This window comes from Homo sapiens, chromosome 11 (genome assembly GCF_000001405.40).
Source record: "Homo sapiens chromosome 11, GRCh38.p14 Primary Assembly".
In the NCBI taxonomy this organism is placed as follows: domain Eukaryota; kingdom Metazoa; phylum Chordata; class Mammalia; order Primates; family Hominidae; genus Homo; species Homo sapiens.
Window position 1 is genome coordinate 77,223,433 of NC_000011.10, and position 26,742 is coordinate 77,250,174.

Genomic DNA, 26,742 nt, shown 5'->3' on the forward strand with positions numbered 1-26,742 from the left:
AACAGTCAGGTCCCTCAGCTGCAGGTCTATTGGGGGAGTTTGCTGGAGGTCCACTCCAGACCCTGTTTGCCTGGGTATCACCAGCAGAGGCTGCAGAACAGCAAATATTGCTGCCTGATTCTTACTCTGGAAGCTTTGTCTCAGAGGGGCACCTGGCTGTATGACCTGTCAGTCGGCCTCTACTGGGCGGTGTCTCCCAGTTAGGATACACGGGGGTCAGGGACCCACTTGAGGAAGCAGTCTGTCTGTTCTCAGAGCTCAAACACTGTGCTGAGAGAACCACTACTCTCTTCAGAGCTGTCAGACAGGGACGTTTTAGTCTGCAGAAGTTTCTGCTGCCTTTTGTTCAGCTATGCCCTGCCCCCAGAGGTGGAGTCTACAGAGGCAGGGGCCTCCTTGAGCTCCGGTGGGCTCCACCTAATTTGAGCGTCCTGGCTGCTTTGTTTACCTACTCAAGCCTCAGCAATGGCAGACACCCCTCCCCTAGCCAGGCTGTGGCCTTGCAGTTCCATCTGGACTGCTGCGCTAGTGGTGAGCAAGGCTCTGTGGGCGTGGGACCTGCTGAACCAGGCAGGGATATAATCTCCTGGCATGCTGTTTGCTAAGACCGTTGGAAAAGTGCAGTATTAAGGCTGGCGTGTCTCGATTTTCCTGGTACAGTCTGTCACGGCTTCCCTTGACTAAGAAAGGGAAATCCCCCGACCCCTTGCATTTCCCAGGTGAGGTGATGTCCTGCCCTGCTTCTGCTTGCCCTCCCTGGGCTGCACCCACTGTCCAACCAGTCCCAGTGAGATGAACCAGGTACCTCAGTTGGAAATGCAGAAATCACCCGTCTTCTGCGTCAATCACGCTGGGAGCTGCAGACCGGAGCTGTTTCTATTCAGTCATCTTGGAACAGACCTCAGGATAGTTACCTCTCTTGATTAGGTTATGCTATATGACAAAGGTTCTGGGATAATTACTCCAATGATTTACATTACATTACATTACATAGACTTCATCATAGATTACACAGACTTCATCATAGCAGACTGGAGAGATATTCTGTTGTTGGCTTTGAAGAAGTAAGCTGCCATGTTGTGAGGACCATGTGGATAGGACTTGAGGGTCACCTCTAGGAGCTCAGACCAAAACCCTGCTAACAGCCATTGAGAAAACAGAGATGACTTCACTTCTACAACTATGAGGAACTTTTAATTCTGCTAACAAGCAGTGAGCCTGGAAGAGGACCACAAACCTCAAATAAGATTGTAGCCCCAATTGATACCCTGTAAAGAGTAAGTAAAGGAACTGTCTAACCCATGTCTGTGAGATAATACATTTGTATAGTGTTAAGCTGCTAGGTTTGGAGTAATTTTTTAAAATACGGCAATAAAAAACTAATATAGGCTGGGCAGGGTAGCTCACATCTGTAATTCCAGTGCTTTAGGAGGCCAAGGCAAGCCGACTGCTTGAGGTCAGGAGTTTGAGATCAGCCTGGGCAACATAGTGAGATGCCATCTCTACCTTTTTTTTTTTTTAATTAGCCAGTCATAATGGTTTGTGCCTGTGGTCCCAGATACTAGGGAGGCTAAGGCAGGAGGATTGTTTGAGCCCAGGAGTTCAAGGTTGCAGTGAACCATGATCATGCCACTATACTCCAGACTTGGGCGAAAGAGTGAGACCTTGCCTCTAAACAAGCAAAACAAAAAACTAGTAAACACAGCAATAGAATCTATCCAAAAATAAAGGAAATTAATTAAATATTTTAAATGACTACTCAGAAGACTGAGGCAGGAGAATCGCTTGAAACTGGGAGGTGGAGGCTGCAGTGAGCTGAGATCATGCCACTGCACTCCAGCCTGGGCAACAGAGCAAGACTCTGTCTCAAAAAAAAAAAAAAAGTCTCAGTAACCTATGGGATAATATACTAACAAACAGCTGTGTAACTGGAATCCCAGAAAGCAGTGGTGGAGCAGAGGCAGAAAAATATTTGAAGAAATAAAGACTAAAATTATGTCCAATTTGATGAAAATTATACTCTGACAGATCTAAGAATTTCAGCAAACCCTAATCAAGATAGTCTCTCTCTCCCTCTCACATGCACGCACACGCACGAAGTTAAGCCATAATCAAACTACTAAAAACCAATAATAAAAGGAATAATCTTAAAATGTAGCCAGAGGAAAAAAGACACGTTACAAACAGAAGAACAGGGGTAAGAAAACTGAAACTTTACATAAGAAACTACATACGACAGAAGACAACAAAATTGACTTAAATTGCTGAAAAATACCCCCTCACACTAGAGAGAGGCCTTCTGGTGGTAGACATGGCATCAGTAGGTGCAGCAGTACGTGCCCATCCTGGAGGTGGCATGGGGCAACACATGGCACTCCGTATTTAGCAAATGAGGCTCCATTCTCCTCAACTTTAATGGATCTGGGCTGTGGTTATGGCTGAGGTCCTGACTTCTGTCTAGTCTTCCTTGTTCCTTCCCTGATTCTAAACTTGGTCCTGCACCTTCTAGATATCTCTTTGAGGTACCCAAATAGCTTTCCAATGCCTTTTCTTTCTGCTTAGATCAAGAAAAACTGGTTTCTCTAATAGGCAACCTAAGAGCTCTTAAAAACAGAAAATCCTTCATTTATTTTCTACTCACCTTTTCTCATCACCATTTTAGCATAGTAGTGGGTAGGGTCAAGTTAACTGTTACTTTTTCTAAGCCACCTCTTTTATCTAGGTTTATATAGTTCTTCAATTTTACTTTCAAAACTTCTTTCCCAGCCATGTTTCCTCCTCATCTCCATGTTCTATCACTGCTTGGCTGGATTATTGTTATGGGCTGAATTATGTCCCCCCAACTCCAATTTCATATGTCAGAGTCCTAACCCTCAGTGTGACTGTATTTGGAGACAGGGCACTTCAGGAGTAATTAAGGTTAAATGAAGCCATAAGGGTGGGGCCCTAATCCAACAGGACTGGTGCCCTTATGAGAAGAGGAAGAGAGACCCGAGATCCCACTCTCCCAAGCACACACACAGAAAAGGCCATGTGAACACACAGTGAGAAGGCAGCTGCATTCAAGCTAAGAAGACAGTGCTCACTAGGGCTCCTCACCAAATTTGCCAGCACCTTGATCTGGGATTTCTAGCCTCCAGAACTGTGAGAAAATAAATTTCTGTTGTTCAAGCCACCCAGTCTATGGTATTTTGTTATGGCAGCCCTAGCTTACTAAGGAACAACTACTGATATAATCATAAACTAGCTGCAATCGTCAGTTAGCTTCAGACTTTGTAACGTAGCCAGTAGAGTGATCTTAAATTCCATGTAATTTGTAACTCAAGTAACCATGTAACTTGAGGTCGCCCTGCCTCAGACCTGGGTAAACTTGGCTTAAACCTCCAGTTTCACAGCATATGAAAGACCATTGCCTTCTATTTAATTTATTCAAATTTCTAAACTTAGTTTTTCATGATCCCTGTGGATTCATTCCTGCAACCCTAAGTGTTGTATCAGTTCCACTCATCTGCCAGCTGGTACATGGAATATCAGGAGCTTCACCATTGTCCATAAGAAATTAAATTAAATTCATGATTTTGTGACTGTTCCAACTTTAATTAAGTCTCCAGGAGTTGCGGAAGGAAATTATATCCCACACCGCGCAGTCTTCTGCCTCCTAATTGGTTTCCCTTTGACACTGCATTGGCTTCCAAAACTTACTGTGTGATCATCCTCACAACCCTCAAAGAAACTCTAGCATCCCTTCCCCTTACTAAGCCTAATTCACTTCCTCAGCCCTTTACACAGAAATCTAACCATGTCGCTTCCTTGTGTGAATGAAAGCGATAATGCCATCTCCTAACTGCCAATATGCAGTGACTTGACTCTGGTTTAGCAATTCCAGGACCGCTGAAGTTTTCTTCCTCTAGCCTCCAACATATATCACCCACAAATGATACCCATAAAGCACCTTCCCCCTAATGGGCATGGCAGCTACTCTGTCCTGGACCTAGATGCCTGGCCCAGTGATGTCAATGCTATACTTTTGCCTTCTTCCTCACTGCTCTTTAAGGACCAGCCCCTCCCCTCTCTCAGGCCACCCTCCAGAGACATCTTTCGGTTATCTTCAGCCCCTCTCTAAGTGCCTTGCACAAAGTGTGGACTCAGTGGCTGTATGATACATGAATATATGAAGAAGTAAACACCCATGCTTGAAATCTTCCAAGGGGCCTCACTGCTTAGAGGATGAAATCTAAAATCTGAAGCCTGATGTACAGAGTCCTCCAGAATCTATGCCCAGCCTATACTTCCCCTGGTCCCTCCCCCAACCCCACCCCCAACTTTCCAGACACCCTCAGCTCTTGTCAGGGACATGAAAAGCTGCCTCTGTCTCCTGGAAGCAATGGGTAGGGATGAAGAGACAGGAGTGGGCTAGGCCTCTGACTTTACCTGTGCGAGTGCTGGAGGTTTCAAACAATTTTTCTTTTTCAGTCTCTCTCCGCCTAGAAGGAAGCAGACCATCCATGAAATGAAGGGGTCTAAAGAATCATGGTCTCTTCTAACGTTCCTCCTCCAGGATCTTCTTCCCCCTTCCATCTTGAAACTTACAATCCTATAGCATTTGCCTGCAAGGATTCCCAAATGTCATTTTCTTCTACAGATAAAAAGATTATGGGCGAGGCACGGTGGCTCACACCTGTAATGCCAGCACTTTGGGAGGCTGAGGCAGGCGGATCACCTGAGGCGGGGCCAACATGGTGAAACCCCATCTCTACTAAAAATACAAAAATTAGCCAGGCATGGGCCAGGCAGGGTGGCTCACCCCTGTAATCCCGGCACTTTGGGAGGCCGAGGCGGGCAGATCACAAGGTCAGGAGTTCAAGACCAGCCTGACCAATATGGTGAAACCCCACCTCTACTAAAAATATTTTTAAAAAAAATTAGCTGGGCATGGTGGTGCCTGTAGTTCCAGCTACTCGGGAGGCTGAGGCAGGAGAATCGCTTGAACCCAGGAGGCGGAGGTTGCAGTGAGCCGAGATCGTGACACTATACTCCAGCCTGGGTGACAGAGCAAGACTCCGTCTCAAAAAAAAAAAAAAAAAAAAAAAAAAAAATTAGCCAGGCACAGTGGCAGGCACCTGTAATCCCAGCTACTCGGGAGGCTGAGGCAGGAGAATCACTTGAACCCAGGAGGTGGAGGCTGCAGTGAGCCGAGATCATGCCACTGCATGCCACCGCACTCCAGCCTGGGCAATAGACTGAGACCCCATCTCAAAAAAACGAACAAAAAAAATATTATGGCCCAGAAAGAAGCAGTTGTTTTCCCAGGGTCACCTAGCAACTAAGGGACAAAGCCAGAGCTAAAACCCAGTCTTCCTGGTTTATGAACTTGCTCTTTGCACACTGCTATGCCATTTCATGGAAGATGGGAAGGTGGAGGCACTTGTTCTGGACAATATTCAAGCCCTGTCATCTTTCAACTGCTCCACATTGAATCCATAGTAATAGGCTTGACTAAGCTTTAGTGACAGTCCCTATCCTGAAAATATTGTCTTATTTGGGGGAGGTCAAAGGGGTGTGAGGAACTGCAGACTACATGAGAAGAGAGATTCAGATTATAAACGCCATCTTGCCATGTGGGATTACGGGAAGAGCGTAACTCTTATTTTTCTCAATTTCCTATAATAATCCATTTATTTTGGAAAAAATTCATTTAAAATTATATATATACTTACCAGTGAAAACAAAATATGGCAACAATAAAAAGCACAGAAATGATATCTGCAAGGAGCCACATGAACACATAGAACTTTGGTGTCTGAAAAACATAAACCACAGTGAAAGAACTTTACAGTTAGAAGGGATTTTGGATCATACGGTCTAAGTCCCTTGCTCTGCTGCCAGGGCTGGAGGAGGAGAGGAAGAGGGGATAGACAGGCCAAGGAACCTTGATTGATGTGGCATTCTCAAACACAGACAGTCCCTGCAAGTGTCCTAACAGTCACCCTTATACATGCAGGGGGCTCTAGAGGGAATAGAACACTTCACACCTTTCATCTCACCTTTCATCTCCCAAGACAGAGGGCAGAGGGGGTCCCAGAGAAGTCACACAACAAGTCTATTCTGGACCCAAGACCACAGTCCAGGTTCTTGACTTCTACTGCTGTTTTCAAGGCATGGCTTCTCAAACCTGGCTGTGCAGCCAAGTCTCCCGGGGCAGCTTTTAGTAATACAGGTTTCTGGGTCTCACTAGACACCTAAGGAATGAGAATCTCTGCATTTTTAACACATTCCCAGGTGATGCTGAAGCCATGTGTCTGTAAGCCAGCATTTGGGAACCATTGTTCTAAAGTATCACACTTTAATTAAGAATGCTGAAGTACAATTACCCCTTACCTACATGCTCCTCTTCTATGCTCCTTGCCCAAATCATCTATTTCCCAGAGCTCTGTCTTCTGGGTCCTCTCATTGAGTTTGATGCTCCCTTTCCACCTCAATTGTGCCCTCTCTAATTCCACTTGATGCTAATAGGGCTGGCACATTTTATCCTTTCTCAGACCACTCTCCACCCTATCCCAAGGTCTTTCCTTGAGCTGAATAATAAAATTAATAACACTAATGATCATAATTAACAATAAGCAATTAACAGGAGCCAGGCAGGTATTCTAAGCACTTCAGGGGTATTTACAGATTTAAGCCTCATAATAGCCCTACTAGTAGAAAATCTTAACCAACTTCCACTGAACTGAGGCTCTTAATCCCCTCTGGGAAAAATATTGACTGAGGGCTGCTGTAGTTGGCTGATTGCTCCAAGAGGCCTACCAGATAAGCAGAATGTTCACAAAGAATCAGTTATCCTTGTTTCCCAAATGGCTTAAGTCAACTGTACTTGTTATTGTAATAGTGCAATGTAATTAGATGCTGCTTAAATTTGTGAGATCTGAGTGAAAAAAGTATGTCATTTTCAAAGAAACTAAGTCAAATGCTTTGAAAAACTCAATGAGGACAAAATAGATCATTAAAGAATAGACAGCAATTAGATTAGGTGTAGGTGAAACACTACAAGGGTTTGAGGGATTATAAAGATCTAGGTAGATTGCTCATTCAGATTGATTGTCCTAATGACTTTAAGTTCCTGTTCTGCTTAAAACAAACAGTTAGAAATCCTAGCTAGTTCATCTGGATGTTTAAATGAGAGAACATAGAACTCGATCAGCAGAAATATCCTCAAAGAAATGACTGTCAAAAGGTGAATGAATATTTTAAAATAAAATTTGTGAAGTATGTATGTGGCATACTGTTTATAAAAATGACCACAAAATTCCTTCCAAACCTATATGCAGGCCCCTACACAACGTGACTTAGCTGTGCCTCCCTATCAAGAGGTGAAGTCTGTTTCTCTCCCACCCTGAATCTGAATTTGGCCAGGTGATTTTCCTTGGCCAATGGAACATCAGCAAACATAACACTGTGAGAACTTTGAAAAGTCCATGTGCTTTGGGGCTTGCTCTCTCTTGCTGTTGGGAACCCATCTCCACTAGGTGAACACACTCCAGCTAGCTGCCTTGAGGATGAGCGACGACACGAAGAGAAACTTGGTCATTCCAGGTGCGCCTCTAGACAAATGAACAAGGCATCCTAGACTATCCAGCCCAGCTGACTTGGCTCAAACCAGAGACACCACCTAGCCATCAGCCAGAATTGAGACATGATAAATATTTGTTTAAGACACTAAGTTTTAGGTAGTTTTTATTAAGCATTAAAAGCTAACTGATAAAGTGTATATCATTTTTAAATGATTCCTCACTTTAATTTTCTCAATTACGAGACCAATGACCAGACCAGATTATGTTGGACACAAGTGTTTCTACTGCACTATTATTATCCCCAATTTTCAAACAGAAGAAACAAAAAAGCCAAAAACCACAAACACATTAACTAGTATTTCCACATTCACACAGTAAGTAATGGAGCCAAGATCTGAATCTAAATCTCAATCAGTCTAACTCTGGAGTGTAGGCTTCCTGTTAAGACCTCTGGGACACCAGCCTCACCTCCCTGAATAAAATGACACATGGCATAGGCTGGGAACCATGCATTGGGTCCTTTAAAAATGCCTAGACTAGGTGTGGAAGGAAGATTGGTTTTCTTACATATATCCTTTTAAACTTTTTGATTTTTGAATCACATGGATTTATTCATTTAAATATTAAAATGAAAAAAACGCATTCAGAAATAGCATCATTTAAGTAAATGTGTACCTCCCAAAGGGACAACTTTGAGACATTACTGATTCAGGGGATAGGATTATGGAGGGGTGTGCTGCTTTCTAAATTATGCATTTTTGTAATGACTGGATTTTAAAATGTTAGAAAAACACATAGTATATACATGAAGGGGAGTTATATGGGGACAGGTGGGTGGAAAGGCTCCACCTGTGCTGAGTGACCTGCCATCCAAAGCTCCCTTCAGGGTCATCTCCAGGAAGCTGACCAAGCCACCATAGTAAGAAGTCAGCGATTTCTCCTGTCTACCAGAGGGCCTAGATGCAGTTACTGGCCCTGTAAGACTGTGCCTTGACTCTGGATCCCTTTTCCCCTGGTCCTGACCCTGAACAGGTCAGAAGCTCAGGCCAGAGGGTGGAGATCTGGAGGAGGTGACTTGAGGCCCCTTCCCTCTTAGGCTTCTCTGACAAAGGCTTTAACTTTCAAGGCCATTTGGAGTTTGGGTTATTACTTGGGATTGGACTCTTAATTCTGAAGTGAGGCTTTTTGATGACTAAAAGTGAACTTCTAAAAGTTATCTAACAGTGACTGGAAAAGCTACAGGACCTAAGTGAGATTTCATTCAGGGGCAGAGAAAGGCCTACATCACAGACCAGGTTTAAAGAATCAATGCAGCGAAATTAAACTGTTTTCTGTTGTATGCTATTGTGTCCCACTCAGTCAACCTACTCTCTGTACAGATAAGAACAAGTTCTGTAGCAGTAACTGGTTAGCTAGGGCTCCCTCCACAGATAGTGATAGGATTTGGCTGGGATCGTAAACCAGGTCTTCAGGTTCTCAAGCTTCTGGCAGTAAGCAACAGAAGGCCTAGAACATGCAACTGGACACTGGCTACCCTCTTCAAAAGCCATTTGTTAGGGCACACAGTTTCCACTTTGGAGTCAAGTACGCTTGGTTTTCTCCCCACTCTCCATGCCGTTGTCAATTGTTGCCATGCCTCTACAAAGGTGGGGCTACAGTAACAAAACTCTGAAGTCAGACCTCATTCTGAATCCTGCCTCATGAAACCACATGCAAAGATATCTTTGAGCTTCAGTTTCCTCATGAAGATGATAACAGTGGCCAATTCAAAGGGTTAAATGACATAACGCATGTCAAGCACATTGTAAGGATTCAATAAATGTCAATTATTATAACAACACTAATTTTTGCCTGAAAATCCCAGAAGGATCTGTGAGAATGGAAAATACCACATCTCCAATATTCATAGAAGTCTGTACTCTTAAGTGGCTGCCCAGGGGATGGCACAGTGGGCAACACAGGGCTGGGGGGCCTGCACTGCTATCATACCAAGCCTGGAAGAACAATCTGGACAACCAGCTCACCATGAAGAAGTGAGGGTGATCAAGCTGACTCAGGAGCCCAATGTTGTCTGTGGTCACTGAGTTAATCCTGGAGCACCAGGCCAGTGAGAAAAGCCAAGGCTCATTGACGGTGTATACGTTGATATGGATGTTAGCTGCTTTATAATCTCTGGAACAAAAACAGAACCCACAGGGGATTTAGATCAAGTTTCATTCTCATCATCTAAAAGGAGAACAGCCACCATGTTTGTGAAAGGCTGTTGCCTAAATCACCAGAAGCAGCTGATCCAGGGACAATTCATGATACGATGTGACAGAATGGGCTCATAGTACAATAAGATAAAGGATTGGATTTAGCACCTCTGCTCCTGTAGCAACAGTGGTGTGCTGGTAAACCAAATGTCCTAAGGAGAATAATAAAAAGGAAGAAAGAAAACATATTGAAAAAAAAAAAAAAAAAAAGAATGGGGAAAAGGAAAAAGGAAAACCCTATTGTAGCATATGCAAATTTCCATGGTAAAAACACTCCTACCATAGCCAACTGTAAGCTACCATTGGTAGAACCAATTTGCAGAGTTTCTGAATATTTAATAACAAGCTGGTATGAGCTGGCTCTGGCATGCTACTATGTAGCAGCACCTATATACTCGCTTCTATCAGAGCACTTATCACCCCGTACTCGAATGATCTGCTCATTTATCAGTTCTTTACTTGACTCTAAGCAAACTAAAAGCAGAGACTATGTCTTATTTGTCTCTGGATACTCAATACCTAGCATAATGCCAGGCTCCACAAATATTAATTGAAAAAATAAATAAATGAGTACCAATCTGGTGAACTTATTAAATTTCAAATATAAGGAATTTTTGCAAGTAATGAAAATAGGGGGAAAACCTAATTTGTCCCATGGCACTAAATGTCAGTGGATACTTGTGAACTGTTTATAGAGACAGGGAGAAAATAAGTGGAGGAACACCTAGTAATTCCAGCTAAGTTGTCATTTTCAGGGATTCAATTTCTCAGAAAACATACCATGTAAATGCCTTCAAAAAATTTTTTCAACTCTCAAATGGTATGGCATATTGGAAACTGCTCTGTACAAGCCTGGGTTTGAATCCCAGTTCTGTCATATACGAGCTTAGTAAATTCTTGGCCTCAGTATAGAAACTGTAAAATAATAATAATGCCTCCTTAACAGAGGTGCTAGCAATTAGTTATCCAATATGTTAGAATTGTCTCTGAACCAATCCCTGCAGATAAAGATAAATTTTAAAAATAAAATTAGGAAAAAATAGTAAAAAGTTACTTATTTTTACCTTTTGAAACCAAAACTCAAAAACCAATCACATTCCTTGTTTGTTTAAATTTTAAATTCAGGAGATACATGTGCAGGTTTAATACATGGATATATTGCATGATACTGAGGTTTGAATCTGCTACCCAAATAGTGAACATAGTACCCCACAGGTAGTTTTCCAACCCTTTCCCCTGTCTCTCCCTCCTCCATTTTGGACTCCCCATTGTCTATCATTTCCAACTTTATGTCCATGTGTACCCAATGTTTAGCTCCCACTTATAAGTGAGAACATGTGGTATTTGATCTTCTGTCTCTGCACTAATTCACTTAGAATAATGGCCTCCAGCTTCATCTATGTGCTGCAAAGGACATGATTTCATTCTTTCTTATGGCTGCATAGTATTCCATGGTGTATATGTGTCACATTTTCTTTATCCAGTCCACCACTGATGGGCAGTTAGGTTGATTCCATGTCTCTGCTATTGTGAATAGTGCTGCAATAAACATACAAGTGCAGGTATCTTTTTAGTAGAACAATTTATTTTCCTTTGGGTAGATGCCCAGTAATGGGATTGCTGGGTCAAATGGTAGTTACATTTTTAGTTCTTTGAGAAATCTCTAAACTGCTTTCCCCAGGGGCTGAACTAATTTACATTCCCACCAACAGTGTCTAAGCATTTCCTTCTCTCTGCAACCTTGTCAATATCTGTTTTTTTTTTTTTTTTTTTTTTTTTTTTGACTTTTTAGTAATAGCCATTCTGACTGGTGTGAGATGGTATCTCATCAGGGTTTTGATTTGTATCTCTCTGATGATTAGTGATGCTGAGGATGTTTTCATATGTTTGTTAGTTGCTTGTATGTCTTCTTTTGAGAAGTGTCTGTTCATATCCTTTACCCACTTTCTTAAACAAGTGGAGTGACATATGTGTTCATGGATTGGAAATTCAATGTAGTAAAGATGTCAGTTCTCCCTCAAATAGATCTGTAAGTTTGATGCAGCAAGGTTTTTTTGTACAATTAGCAAGTGGATTATAAGATTCATATGGAAAAGCACAGCCCTACAATAATTAAAACAATCTGAAAAAAAAATAGTGTGAGAGGGAATCACTCTATCTGATGTTAAGACTTATTATATAGCTACAGTAAGCAAGCTAGTGTGGTATTAGAGGAGATATGGACACATAAATCAGTGGAACAGAACCGAAAACCATACAATAGATCCATACAAATGTGACAAATGATTTTTGACAAAGATGCAAAAGCAATTCAATGGAAGAAAGTCTTTTCAAAAAATAATGCAGGAGTAACTAGACAGCTACAGTTTCTGGAGAAATCAGTAAAAAATAATCCAAAGATGTAAAAATTCAGCCGGAGCCAGACATGGCAGCTCATGCCTATAATCCCAATGCTTTCGGAGGCCAAGGCAGGAGGATGGCTTGAGGCCAGGAGTTTGAGACCAGCCTGGCAACACAGTGAGACCCTGTCTGTACAAAAAAATTTTAAAAAATAGCCAGGTGTGGTGGCACATGCCTATAGTCCTAACTACTGTGGAGGCTGAGGCAGAAAGATGGCTTGAGCCTAGTAGTTTGAGACTACAGTGAACAATGATCACATCACTGCACCCCAGGCTGGGGGACAGAGCGAGACTTTGTCTCTATTAAAAACAAAAAAAAAACAAAAAAAAAAACAAATTGAAGAGATAGAATGAGATACTAAAAAATGATTAACTAAAAAATAAAAAGAGAGGGAAGGAGTGATCAAAAAACCCCACAAGGAATAGAAAGGACAAATAGAAAAAAAATAGCATGATGGTAATGTAAACCTAACTAGATTAATATGTGAACTAAATTTTTTTTTCAGGTTCACTATTGTTAACCTTTTTTCCTCCCTTTTTTTCTTGTTATTAAAGTTCTAGGGTACATGTGCACAACGTGCAGGTTTGTTACATATGTATACATGTGCCATGTTGGTTTTCTGCACCCATCAACTCATCATTTACATTAGGTATATCTCCTAATGCTATCCCTGCCCCGTCTCCCCACCCCACAACAGGCCCTGGTGTGTGATGTTCCCCATCCTGTGTCCAAGTGTTCTCATTGGTGAACTAAATATTACTGGACCTAACATTCCAATTAAAAGTCCGAGATTATCCTACTAGATATAAAAGAACAGACAAAATTTTGTTTATAAGAGATGCACTTTAAAGATGCCAAGTGGTTGAAAGCCAAAAGATAGAAAAAGACTTATTAAGCAAACACAAATTATAAGGCGGCCAGTGTGGCAATATTAATACAAGAAAAAGTAAACTTTAGATAAGATTAATTACCTTAAACAAGGGACATTTCATAATGAAGGGGCCAATTCACCAAGATCTAATAATCCTAAGTGAAAATGCACCCAATAAAAGAGTTTCAAAATACAAGAAGGAAACACACACACACACACACACACAAATCAACAATCGCAATTACAGTTGGATATATTAACAGTTGGGTATATATTGGTAACTGACAGATAGCAGTATAAGGAACCATTCATTTTTCTTTGATTGGGGAAGTTGCTGCCAGAAGAAAGAAGGAATAAGTCTTGATCTTGAGAAGTCTGAGAAGTCTCCTTCTCAACAGGATAACCTGATCTTTTGTAAAAAGAATAATAATATTTACCAGGAAGAGTAGCCTTATATGTAATGTTCTTAAAAGGATGTTCCTGTTTAAGTCTTTCTTTATTACATATTTTGTAAATAAACATGGAACAGATTTATGAGGCATGGGTCCCTGGAGCATGACACATAAACTAGATAACTCTCTGGGACTATCAAATAGAGATGTTTCATGACTCAACTGCTCCCCTTATGTGTGAGTTAACCCTGCAGAAACTCACTTGGAGGCCTCATCTATTACTCTGGGCCACAGAGTACATGTCCAATAAATAAAGATACCTGCACAGCCACAATCAATGTCTCTCCTTGCTTTGTTTGAGCCTCTTGATTGCCTGCTGTATCCTTGAAATTAATGATAAATCTCGGCAGTATGTAGGTTATCTGATATGTGAATGTTTGATCTGCAATCTAATCCTTTGTATTAGCTCAACAGAAAAAGGAAGAAAAAATGAATATAAAATTTTCAAAAAGCCTATCAACCAACTTGAACTAATTGATATTTATAGAATACTACACCCAACAACTGAAGAGGGCACATAATCTTCAGGGGGACATGAGAAGCTCACCAAGATAAACCATATAGTGAGCCATAAAATAAGTTTAGAATTTAAGCCATAGAATTTAAAAGGGTTGAAAGTACACAGGTTTGTTCTCTGATCACAATAAGCTTAAATTAGAAATCAATAACTGAAGTAGCTAGAAAATCCTCAAATGTTTAAAAAGTTAGCAATACACTTCCAAATAATCCATGAGTCTAATGAGAAATGAGAAAACTTTAAATATTTTAAGTTGGATAACAAAGAAACAATATATCAACATAATTTGTGGGAGAAAATTAAAGCAATGCTTACAGTAAATTTAGAGCTTTAAGGCTGGGCGCAATGGCTCATGCCAGAGGTTGCAGTGAGCCGAGATCACGCCACTGCACTACAAACTGAGTGACAGAGTGAGACCCTATCTCAAAAAATAAAAAACAAATAAGTTTATAGCTTTAAATGTTTACATTAGAAAGAAGATCTAAAACAGGTCACCTAATTTTCTACCCTAAAAAAGCCATCTATTAGCAAGAACAGCAAATTAAAACTGAAGTCAGTGTGAAAATTATAAAGAGCAGAAATCAATGAAATAGGAAAGTAAAGGTGCAATAGGAAAAAGATAACAAAGCCAAAATTCAGTGTTTTGAAATGATTAAAATTCATAAACCCCTAGCAAGACTGATCAAGAAAAACAGAAAAAATAAAAACTTCCAGTATCAAAATGCATTAGAACTAAAGGTGGCAATTGCACAACGATGTAAATGTACTAAGTGTCACTGAATTGTTCACTTTAAAATTTTATGTTAGGCTGGGCGTGGTGGCTCATGCCTGTAATCCCAGCACTTTGGGAGGCCGAGGTGGGTGGATCACCTGAGGTCAGGAGTTTGAGACCAGCCTGGCCAACATGATGAAACCCCGTCTCTACTAACAATACAAAAATTAGCTAGGTGTGGTGGTGTGAGCCTGTAATCCCAGCTACTTGGGAGGCTGAGGCAGGAGAATCACTTGAACCTGGGAGGCAGAGGTTGCAGTGAACCGAGATCACACCATTGCACTCCAGCCTGGGCAACAAGAGCGAAACTCCGTCTCAAAAAAAAAAAAAAAAAATTATGTTATGTGAATTTCACCTCAATACAATTTTTTATTTAACATTTTTTTAAAACATTAAAAATAGACCAATAACAAGGAGTAATAAAAAGTAATACAAAGTCTACCGACAAAGAAAAGCCCAGGACATAGTGGCTTCACTGCTGAATTCCACCAAACACTTAAAGAAGAACTAATATCAATCCTTCTCAAACTCTTTCAAAAAAAATAAAGTGGAGGGAATAATTCCAAACTCATTTTACTAGGCCAGCATTACCTTGATACCAAAGCAAGATACGGACACTACAAGAAAAGAAAATTACAGGCCAATATCACCAATGAAATCCTGAGACATAAAAATCCCAACACAATACTAACAAACTGAATTCAACAGCACCATAAAAGAATCATTCACCATAATCAAGTGGGATTCCTCCGTGATACAAGGAGGGTTCATCATATGCAAATCAATAAATGTGACACACTGCATTAACAGAATGAAACACAAAAACCATATGATCATCTCAATAGATATAGAAAAAGCGTTTAACAAAATTCAACACCCTTTCATGATAAAAACTCTCAACAGATTATGTATAGAAGGAATATACCAAAATACAATAAAGGCCATTCAGGACATGGCCACAACTAAAATCATACTCAATGGTGAACAGTCGAAAGCTTTTCCTCTAAGATCAGGAACAAGACAAAGATGCCAAATCTCACCACTTCTTTTTGACATAGTACTGTCTTAGCCAGAGCAATTAGGCAAGAGAAAGAAAGAAAAGGCATCCAAATAAGAAAGAAGTCAGATTGTCTCTGCAGATGACATGACCTTTTATATAGAAAATCCTAAAGAATCCACAAAAATACTAAAACTAATACATTCAGTTTATCGGTTGCAAAGTTGCAGGATACAAAATCAACATACAAAAACCAGTAGCATTTCTTTCTATGTACTAACAACTACCTAACTGATGAAAGTAAGAAAATAATCCCATTTACAATAGCAACAAAAATAGAATTCTTAGGAATAAAACTTTACCAAGGAGGTGAAAGATCTGTACACTAAAAACTATGAAACACTGATGAAAGGGGCCGGGTGCGGTGGCTCACACCTTATAATCCCAGCACTTTGGGGGGCTGAGGCGGGTGGATCACCTGAGGTCAGGAGTTTGAGACCAGCCTGGCTAACATGGGGAAACCTGGTCTCTACTAAAAATATAAAAAATTAGCAGGGTGCAGTGGTATGTGCCTGTAATCCCAGCTACTTGGGAGGTTGAAGCAGGAGAATCACTTGAACCCAGGAGGCAGAGGTTGCAATGGGCAGAGATTGTGCCACTGCACTCCAGCCTAGATGACGGAGCAAGACTGCCTCAGAAAAAAAAAAAAAATTGGTGAAAGAATTTAAAAAAAACACAAATAAATGAAAAGTTATGTGTTTATGGATTGAAAGACTTAATATTGTTACAATGTCAAAATTACCCAAAGCAATCTACAGATTCAACATAATCCCTCTCAAACTTCCAATGTAATTTTTCACAGAAATAAAAAAAAAATCCTTAAATTTGTATGACCACTAATGATTTCTAAAAGCCAAGACAATCTTGTGCAAAAAGAACAAGGCTGGACACATCACATTCCCTAATTTCAAAATACATTATAAAGATGTGATAATCAAAACAGCATGGTAATGGCATAAAAACAGACACATACCAGTGGAACAGAATAGAGAGCCCAGATGTAAATTCAAATCGTTATAGTTAATTGAATTTCAACAAAGATGCCAAGAACATACAATGAGGAAAGGATAATCTCTTCAATAAATGGTGTTGAGAAATTGGATAGCCACATGCAGAAGAATGAAATTAGGCCCTTATCTCATACCACATACAAAAATCAAATCAAAATGGATTAAAGACTTAAATGTAAGACCTGAAACTAAAACTACTAGAAGAAAATGGGAAAAGCTCCACAACATTGGTCTCTGGGCAATGATTTTTTGGATATGACCCCAAAAGCACAGGTAACAAAAGCAAAAATAGACCAACGGAACTACATCAAACCAAAAAGTGTCTGCACAGCAAAGGAAACAATCAACAGAGTGAAGAGAAAACCTATGAAATGGGAGAAAATATTTAATAGCAAAAAAACAAATAACCCAATGAAAAAATGGGCTAAGGACCTGAAGAGATATTTCTCAAAAGAAGACACAAATAGCCAACAAGCATATGAAGAAAACACTCAATATCACTAATCATCAGGGAAATACAAATTAAAACCACAAGGAGATATCTCACACCTCTCAAAATTTTGGCTATTACAAAAAAGATGAGAGATAGTAAGTACTGGCAAGGATGTGGAGAAAAGGGAACTCTTACACACTGTTGGTGGGAATGTAAATTAGTACAGCCATTATGGAAAACAAAGTGGAGGTTCCTCAAAAAACTAAAAATAGAACTAACATACATATGATCCAGAAATCCCACTACTGAGTATATATCCAAAGGAAGTGAAATCAATATGTCAAAGAGATATCTGTACTCCCATGTTCATTGCAACACTATTCACAGTAGCCAAGATATGGAATCAACCTAAGTGTCCATCAAACAGATGAATGGGTAAAGAAAATGTAATATATACATACAAAGGAATACTATTCAGCCTTTAAAAAGAAGGAAATTCTGTCACTTGTGAAAACATGGTTGAGCATGGGCGACATTATGGTAAGTGAAATAAGCCACGCAAAGAAAGACAAATACCACATGGTCTCCCTTACGTGTGGACTCTAAAAAAGTCAAACTTACAGTGGGGTACGGTGGCTCACACCTATAATTCCAGCACTTTGGGAGGTGGAGGTGAGGAAACTGCTTGAGCAAGACCACGTCTCTATGCAGAATTTAAAAATTAGCCAAGTGTGTTGGCATGTGCCTGTAGTCCCAGCTACTTGAGAAGCTGAGGTAAGAGGACAGCTTGAGCCCAGGAAGTAGAGGCTGCAGTGAGCCAAGATCACGCCACTGCCTTTCAGCCTGGGTGACAAAACAAGACCCTGTCTTTAAAAAAAAAAAAAAAAAAAAAAAAGGCCTGGCACAGTGGCTCACACCTGTAATCCCAACACTTTGGGATGCCGAGGCGGGTGGATCACGAGGTCAAGAGATCGAGACCATCCTGGCCAACATGGTGAAACCCCATCTCTACTAAAAATACAGAAAATTAGCTGGGCATGGTGGCGTGCACCTGTAGTCTCAGCCTGAGGCAGGAGAACTGCTTGAATCCAAGAGGCGGAGGTTGCAGCGAGCCAAGATTGGGCCTTTGCACTCCAGCCTGGTGACAGAGCGAGACTCTGTCTCAAAAAAAAAATAAATAAATAAGTCTAACTTATAGAAAAAGAGAGTAGAATGTTGGTTACCAAAGGCTAATGTTGGTTACTGAAAAGTAGAATGTTGGTTACCAAAGGGTTGAGGGAGAGAGGAAATGTTGGGTCAAAAGGTATAAAGTTTCAGTTAGATAGAGGGAAATGTTTTGAGATCTATTGCACAGCAGGGTAACTACAGTCAATAATAATGTATATTTCAAAATAGCTGAGAGTAAATTCAAATATCTTAACATGAAAAAGATATGATATATGTTAATTAGCTTGATTTAATCATTCCATATTGTGTAAATATATTAAAACATCACATTGTACCCTATAAATATATACAGTTATGATGTCGATTAAAAATAATATAAATTTTTAAAATGTCTTTAAAACATTAAAAAACTTTGTAGTATCACAAATAAAACAGAGGGCAATTCTATACTCATATACTTTTGATTAAAACAATGCATTTAAAGCATTCTCAGTTAAAACAGCAAGAATAATCTCATTAAACCTTTTAACCACTCCAGCAGGTACCACTGTTATTCTAATTTACAAAGGAGAAAACTGACAATTAGAAACTTTTCCAAAGAGACCAAAGTAGCTGATGGCTAGGCCAGGTCTAGCAAACATATAACTTGACACATAATAATAGCTCAATAAATGGAAGTCATAATTATTTTTCAACTACTAGATCAATCTCAGGATTAAGAGAGAAGGAAATCATTCTAGAGCCATTTTCTATTTGAAAAAAAAAGTAGAAGAAAATAGAAATATGCTCAAAATAGAAGAGTAGTTGAGTAAAGAAAAATCTTCTGAATGGGAATTAGAGAGTAAAACATATATAATTTTCCAACGCTAAAAGAAAAAAAGACACTATTATATGATCAATCCATAGCCAGAAAGGCAGAAAAAGCAGGAACAGAAACAGATGCATGCAACAGCCTTTTACTAAACCCAAAGGAGACTTTGGATATCTATTATCTATAATCTATTATAGATAGGTAGATAATAGATATCTATATATTATGTATCTCTAACCTGTTATCTCCCTCCCTCTGTCCCTCCCCAAGGAAGACTTTGTCTCTAAAGCATTTAGAATCATATAAAAAATTAACCTTAAATCTAAGACAAAGGGGATATGGATTAAATTAAGCATGTTTAATAATAGTTAAGTTTGGAAAAGTTATTTTATTCCCAGGTGCTTTTAATTCTGAAAATTTGTCTCTAATTGTATATTTATAAATACAGTGGTTAATAATTTTAGTTTCTTCTCATGCTCAGCTATTTTTACATTTTTTAAATAATAGTTTTGTTATATTCTTAATTATCCGTTCCAGAAATATGGCTATCTGGATCACAAAGCCATTTACAAGGTACTGCCATCCATCTGGTAATGGTAGGAGGAAATAAACGTTTTGAGTTCTGACTTTTCAACGTCCACCTTTTATATAAGAACAGAAATGCCAAGCATACAAAAAAGTGTACTGAATGGTGAAAGATTAGAGTACACAGCAGAGGCTAAAGTCTATGTTCCAGGGACACAGTCAACACTTGATAAATGTTTGTTGGCACAGGGAGGGAGGGAGGGAGGGAGGGAGGAAGGGGTAGGAAAAAGAAAGGAGATTCAAAGGAGATAACCACACACAGAAATTCCGAGATGGAAAGGGGAAGTTAAGAAGTTTAATTAGAATGTGTATTTTGTGTAAGTAAGGCAATATGTGCCAAGAGAGGTGTGGTCAAACACTTACCTTAACCCATTAGGGAACAACTTCTTGTAGTCAACATTTATTATACTGATATTGTTTTTAGCAAGGGTTTCAATGGATACTAAACGGCCCACATGCTGAAAACCAGGAGCCACGGACCTGACGTATTGCCTATCATGAGCTGGCAACCAAAAAATCTCTAAGGAGAAACAAGAAGTCCCTCAGTAGATAATCAGCTATCCAGGTACGAACAGCCCCATAGAGAATGGAGGGAGCTCCATTCCAGCACAGGTAGTATTCTACAGAGAGTAGAGAGAGAGAGTCTAGTCCTTGGTGAAAGAGTCAACATGGGCTAGTATTTTCTTTGTTTTGTTTTGTTTTTGAGATGGAGTCTCGCTCTGTCGCCCAGGCTGGAGTGCAGTGGCACAATCTTGGCTCACTGTAAGCTCCGCCACCCGGGTTCATACCATTCTCCTGCCTCAGCCTCCCAAGTAGCTGGGACTACAGGCGCCCGCTACCACACCCGGCTAATTTTTTGTATTTTTATTGTATTTTGTATTTTTAGTAGAGATGGTGTTCCACCGTATTAGCCAGGATGGTCTCGATCTCCTGACCTCATGATCCGCCCGCCTCGGCCTCCCAAGTGCTGGGATTACAGGCGTGAGCCACCGCGCCCAGCCCTGGGCTAGTATCTTCTAATGAACTCTTATAATGGGGCTTTCACTAGGGCTACTCTGGAGCTGAGTTTTCTCATGACCTCTCCATTTACCAGTTAACATCAAGTGTCAAGGGCCTACTGTGTACACAAAGACTCATACAAGCAAAGTAGATTAGTTGATAGATATGGGTGAATAGTGAGAATCAAAAACATCTTTCTGGTTAATGATGTTAAAAATCATCTTTGAGGCTGGGTGTGGTGGCTCATGCCTGTATTCTTAGCACTTTGGAAGGCCGAGGCAAGAGGATCCCTTGAGCCCAAGAGTTTGAGACAGGCCTGGGCAACATAGGGAGGCCCTGCTTCTATTTTATTTAAAAAAAATCATCTTTGAGAGGAGTCATTTCCTGCCAACAGAGATGCTATTATGACTCATCTATGAAATACTTCCATTTGTAAAAAGACTTATAATTGTTTCACTCACAGCACTCCCATATTCTGAGAATTTATGGGATTTGGAACAACTGACTGCCCAAATGCAGAGTTGCTTCTGAAAAACATTACGAGCAAATCTCTGCTCAAATAAGAACCAGCTCTCCTTTCTATATCATTCATCATGCCAAGTCTTCAAAGCCTTAATGTTACCCAGGCTCTTTCTAATGGATCTATGTTGGTGTGGTGCAGGTCACATTAGATAGTTATTACACATATTCCTCTTTAACAGGGTGCTGACATTTCATTTGGTTTGGAATAGCAAACAGCCTCAATGATTTTCCCCACTGAGATAAATTTAACTGGGTCATTCCTAGATTACCACATGTAGCTGTATAAGTAACAATCTTCATTTCCATAGGAAGTAAAATTACTTAAGGATCCCAGGGTAGATGTACAAGGTAGGTCAAGTTCAACTACTGTGCTCCTAGGACATGCTACCCACCTCCCAACCTATGTCATAAATACTGAGATAGACTTACCAGATGTTGCTCGATTTTAGAGGCAAGGATCACGCTTACTACTTGGCGGACAAATGTGTGTCTGAGAGGATGTTTTGGTGGAGGGCGATGAAGATCAAATATCACAAATTTTCTTTCCTTCTCTGCAAGTGTCAATAAATCAGCTAGTGTTGGAATTGACTGATTTCTTGCTCTTTCTTTATCTGCCTCTGATAGAGGTTTCATATTGTAAAATGGCCTGAGCTAGAAACAAATACATCAAAAAATACATAAAAGCACTTTCCAGTTCTCCTACTATGTAGCCACACATCCAGCTCTACCTCAGTTGCTCCATTATCATTCAATCCATCAGGCCCTCTGAAGTACTAATCCTAGAAAACAGGTGACAAGGAGAGAAATAAAATGTAATCATCATCAATAATTACAGTGTTTGGAATGGTCTCTTCTATATCCTACAACCTGTTGTATTTGCACTGAAGGTCATGTTCTTATCCTGACCTTCCTTTCCAGCCTTCTCTCCCATAAGTCAAGATAATACATCCCTTTTCAGTCACGCTGGCTTCCTACATGGGCTCCCGCTATTCTAGTTTTGTGTAATAGGAAGAACACATGCTTTGGCTTCAACTGAATTTAATACCAGCTCTACCCCTCCCTTGACTTCCTTGCCATATCCACTTGTTAAAATCCTACCCTTCAAATGCTATTTCCCTCATGAAGCTTTCCTTTAATCTTCCTGAACTAAAGAGACTTCAAGGCTGGTGCTGTGATCATGCCTTTAATCCCAGCAGGCTGAGGCAAAAGTATCACTTGAGGCCAGGAGTTCGAGGCCAGCCTGGGCAACATAGTGAGACCCTTGTCTCTACAAAAAAATTTTAAAATAGCTGGGTGTGGAGATACATGCCTGTAGTCCTAACTACTAAGGAGGCTAAGGCAGAAGGATTACTTGAGCCCAGGAGTTTGAGGCTGCAAGTGAGCTATGATTGTGCCATTGCACTACAGCCTGGGCAATAGAGTGAGGCCCTGGGCAATAGAGTGAGGCCCTATCTCTAAAAAAATCAATAAATAAAGAGACTTCAATGGCTTTGAAGCCCAATGGCCCATTTTTATGCCTCTGTATGTCTCATTCATATATAGCTAATGTATGTAAAAATAGCTAAGCATGAGAAGAAACTAAAATTATTAACGACTATATTTATAAATATACAATTAGAGACAAATTTTCAGAATTAGAATTTGGACATGTCTTAGTACATTAAAGTTCAATCCTGGCTCACTATGCTTCTTGCTATGCAACCTTGGTAATAAAACCATTTAAATTCTCCAAGTCATCATTGCCCAAATTATAAAATAGAGGAGAGGAAGAATAACCTATATATTTCTTAGGATTATTTTGAAGATTAAATATGATAAAAATATTTACAGGGTCTGGGAGTATGTCTGGTACATAGATAGAAAAGTATACAATTCACATTAGTTCCTTCACTCTCTGCTGACTCTACTGGAGTGTAACTCCCTCTTGGTGGGAACTGTCATACATTCTTTGAAACGCACAGCATTTCACCTAACACATGGGAGAACACACATATGTTTGCTACATTAAATTTAATAGATGGCAACTTTGATAATCACTTGCCATTTTTTAGATCATTTGAGTGAAGGCAGTGATAAAAGGCTACCTCCCAGGAGAAGGAAGTAGCAGAAGGAAGAAGTCACATTTTCTTAAGACTCAAGTAATCTCTCTTTTTCTCTACACAACTTTATCTTCATTCTCTTTCATACCTCTCCTATTTCTTCTTCTTCTTCCTTTGACCTAAATAAGCTGCCTTTTTAAACATTTTTCTCAGGAAAGAAACAATCACATTGCACAGTATCTCCGGAAAATTGCTAGGCCAGAAGGCAGATCATTGCTAGGCCAGAAGGCAGATCTAAACCATGGTTTAGATCTGATTGAAAGCTACAACTAATGGTTTTCTTAATTCTCAGGACAATAGAAATATGCTTCAGAATTCAAGATTTTGTTAGCTACTACCAGACCTAAACCAACTGGTTCACTTAACTATTAAACCTTCTTGTGAGAAAAATTGTTAAAAGAATTTATGGGAAAGACCAACACAAGACCAAAAATTCAAAATAGCAAAGATGGTAAATATTTAATCAATATAAGAGTTTAAAACTAGACTCCAGTAAACTTTAAATAGTATTATGGGGGTAGGCCTAACAGCTGAAGTACATTGTGCCTCTTTAGACTTAATCAGAAAAATAAACTGGAATGGATAAATGCCTGTTTAGACTATATTCAACATGTGATTGAATGTTTTCAAAAAGCCACAGGAAGTAACAAGCTAGAAATGAAAATAAATTTCTGGTCCTCCAGATGAAACATCTGGTTCCTCAAATAAAAATAAGATTAAAAGGTCCTCTGTTCTCTGTGCCTCTGTGTAGACATATTACAAAAAGAAAGGTTATTGGAAGAACCAATGTATAATATTGGTTAAGAAATAGAAAGACAAGTCCGGGCATGGTGGCTCACGCCTGTAATCCCAGCACTTTGGAAGGCCGAGACGGGCGAATCACCTGAGGTCAGGAGTTCGAGACCAGCCTGACCAACATGGAGAAACCCTGTCTCTACTAAAAATACAAAATTTAGCCGGCTGTGGTGGCACATGCCTGTAATCCCAGCTACTTGGGAGGCTGAGGCAGGAGAATCGCTTGAACCGGGAGGCAGAGGTTGCGGTGAGCCAAGATCGCACCATTGTACTCCAGCCTGGACAACAAGAGTGAAACTCCGTCTCAAAAAAAAAAAAAAAAAAAAGAAAAGAAAGAAAGAAATAGAAGGACAATTAAACCTGTCCAATGATGCCACATCAAGGAAACATTCCACTGAATAGACGATTCTGATAAGAACTAACTGTAACTACATGTGAACAACAATACAATTTTCTTTTCTTTTTTTTTTTTTTTGAGACGGAGTCCTGTTCTGTCGCCCAGGCTGGAGTGCAGTGGTGCAATCTCAGCTCACTTCAACCTCCGCCTCCCAGGTTCAAGTGATTCTCCTGTCTCAGCCTCCCAAGTAGCTGGGATTACAGGCATGCACGATGACGCCCAGCTCATTGTTGTATTTTTACTAGAGACAGGGTTTCACCACGTTGGCCAGGCTGATCTCGAACTCCTGACCTTGTGATCCACCTGTCTCGGCCTCCCAAGTGCTGGGATTGCAGGCGTGAGCCACCATGCCCGGCCAACAATACAATTTTCTTGTTGATATGGGCACCACCACATCTACCATTAATTGCATTACTATAAAAAAATCAGATCACCAGAGTACTACAACCACTTAAGTAGTGGGAGTATCTAACAATCCTGTCTTTTTCCATGTCCCAATATAAAACTATTACTTTGAGACCATTGTCAGAAGAACATCTCTTTCTTCTCTATGGCACTTTCCCTGTACATTTATTTATTTATTTTTAATTTTTATTTTTCTTGAGTTTTGTTCTTGTTGCCCAGGCTGGAGTACAATGGCACAGTCTCAGCTCACTACAACCTCCACCTCCCAGGTTCAAGCAATTCTCCTGCCTCAGCCTCCCGAGTAGCTGGGATTACAGGCACCCACCAACATGCCCGGCTAATTTTTTTTTTTTTTTTTTTTAGTAGAGACGGTGTCACCATGTTAGCTAGGCTGGTCTCGAACTCATGACCTCTCCCCTATAAATTTAAATATTAGAGGCTGGGCAAGGTGGTTCACAGCTGTAATCCCAGCACTTTGGGAGGCCAAGGCTGGCAGATCACAAGGTCAAGAGATCGAGACCATCCTGGCCAACATGGTGAAACCCTGTCTCTACTAAAAATACAAAAAATTAGCTGGGCGTGGTGGTGTGTGCCTGTAGTCCCAGCTACTCGAGAGGCTGAGGCAGGAGAATCGCTTGAAGCCGGGAAGCAGAGGTTGCAGTGAGCCGAGATCACGCCACTGCACTCCAGCCTGGCAACAGACCGAGACTCCATCTCAAAAAAAAAAAAAAAAAAAATTAGCAAGCTACTTTGCAAAAAGAACCACAAGAAGAAATGTACTACAGACAAATTGTTTTTCGAAGCCTCAGAAGGTTCTATCGCACATTATCAAATTACAGCTCATATGAACGTTACTATATTGATTCAAAAAATAACCAAATAGACTTCTGGTTTCTGGTTCCACATGTAAGGAGCTTGGAAGCTGTCACTCCATCCTAACAACAAGTAAAAAGTTGAACAGAATGAAAAATCAACAACTCTTATTGGATCTGTAATAGAGGTGAGGACACAGGGCAAACTGCTGCCCAGAAAATTGGAGACACAGGTGAAAGGAGATGAATCATAGCTTACCAGAATGAGCCTAACAAATGGAAACCACTAAGGAAACCAGTGCTCGGGTAGGAAAACTTGAACCATCACTGACAAATTCCTGGAGGATTAGTGTGGACAAGTCTGAGAGTTAAAAACTCAAGGGGACACCTTGAGATACGTGATTATGTTGCTTATTTGAAATCTTTCTACGTTTTTTGATGTAGGCATTTATTGCTATAAACTTCACTCTTAACACTGCTTTTGCTATATCCCATAAGGTTTGGTATGTTGTGTTTCTATTTTCATTCATTTCAAAAATTTTTTAAATTTCCTTAAGTTCCTCATTAACCCACTGATCATTCAGAAGCACGTTGTTTAATTTCCATATATTTGTACAGTTTTTAAAAAGTATAACATCTTATTTGTAAAAAGCTTAAATTTGACATAAAATTTTATAAACACAGTATTATCTGATTTTTACATTTTCTCTTTTATTTGAGCCAATAAAATTTATTTTTTTAACTTTTATTTTAGATTCAGTGAGTACATGTGCCGGTTTGTTACCTGGGTATATTGCATGATGCTGAGATTTGAA

At 40.0% G+C, this 26,742-nt stretch overlaps 1 protein-coding gene across 4 annotated transcripts in view; it reads right to left on the reverse strand.

The window, feature by feature from the left end:
• Positions 1-26,742, reverse strand: part of GDPD4 (glycerophosphodiester phosphodiesterase domain containing 4) — an 85,142-nt gene that overhangs the window by 6,875 nt on the left and 51,525 nt on the right. For 2 of the 4 annotated variants that reach the window (XM_011544834.1, NM_182833.3), the window contains exons 12-16: positions 21,849-22,070; positions 20,262-20,416; positions 9,593-9,740; positions 5,718-5,800; positions 4,432-4,484 (exon numbers count right to left, since the gene is read on the reverse strand). In XM_011544834.1, coding sequence (XP_011543136.1) covers positions 4,432-4,484; positions 5,718-5,800; positions 9,593-9,740; positions 20,262-20,416; positions 21,849-22,070 — 661 coding nt within the window. Of the gene's footprint in view, positions 1-811; positions 934-4,431; positions 4,485-5,717; positions 5,801-9,592; positions 9,741-20,261; positions 20,417-21,848; positions 22,071-26,742 lie in introns of those variants that run through there. The other 2 variants (XM_047426558.1, XM_047426557.1) reach the window with 2 other exon arrangements.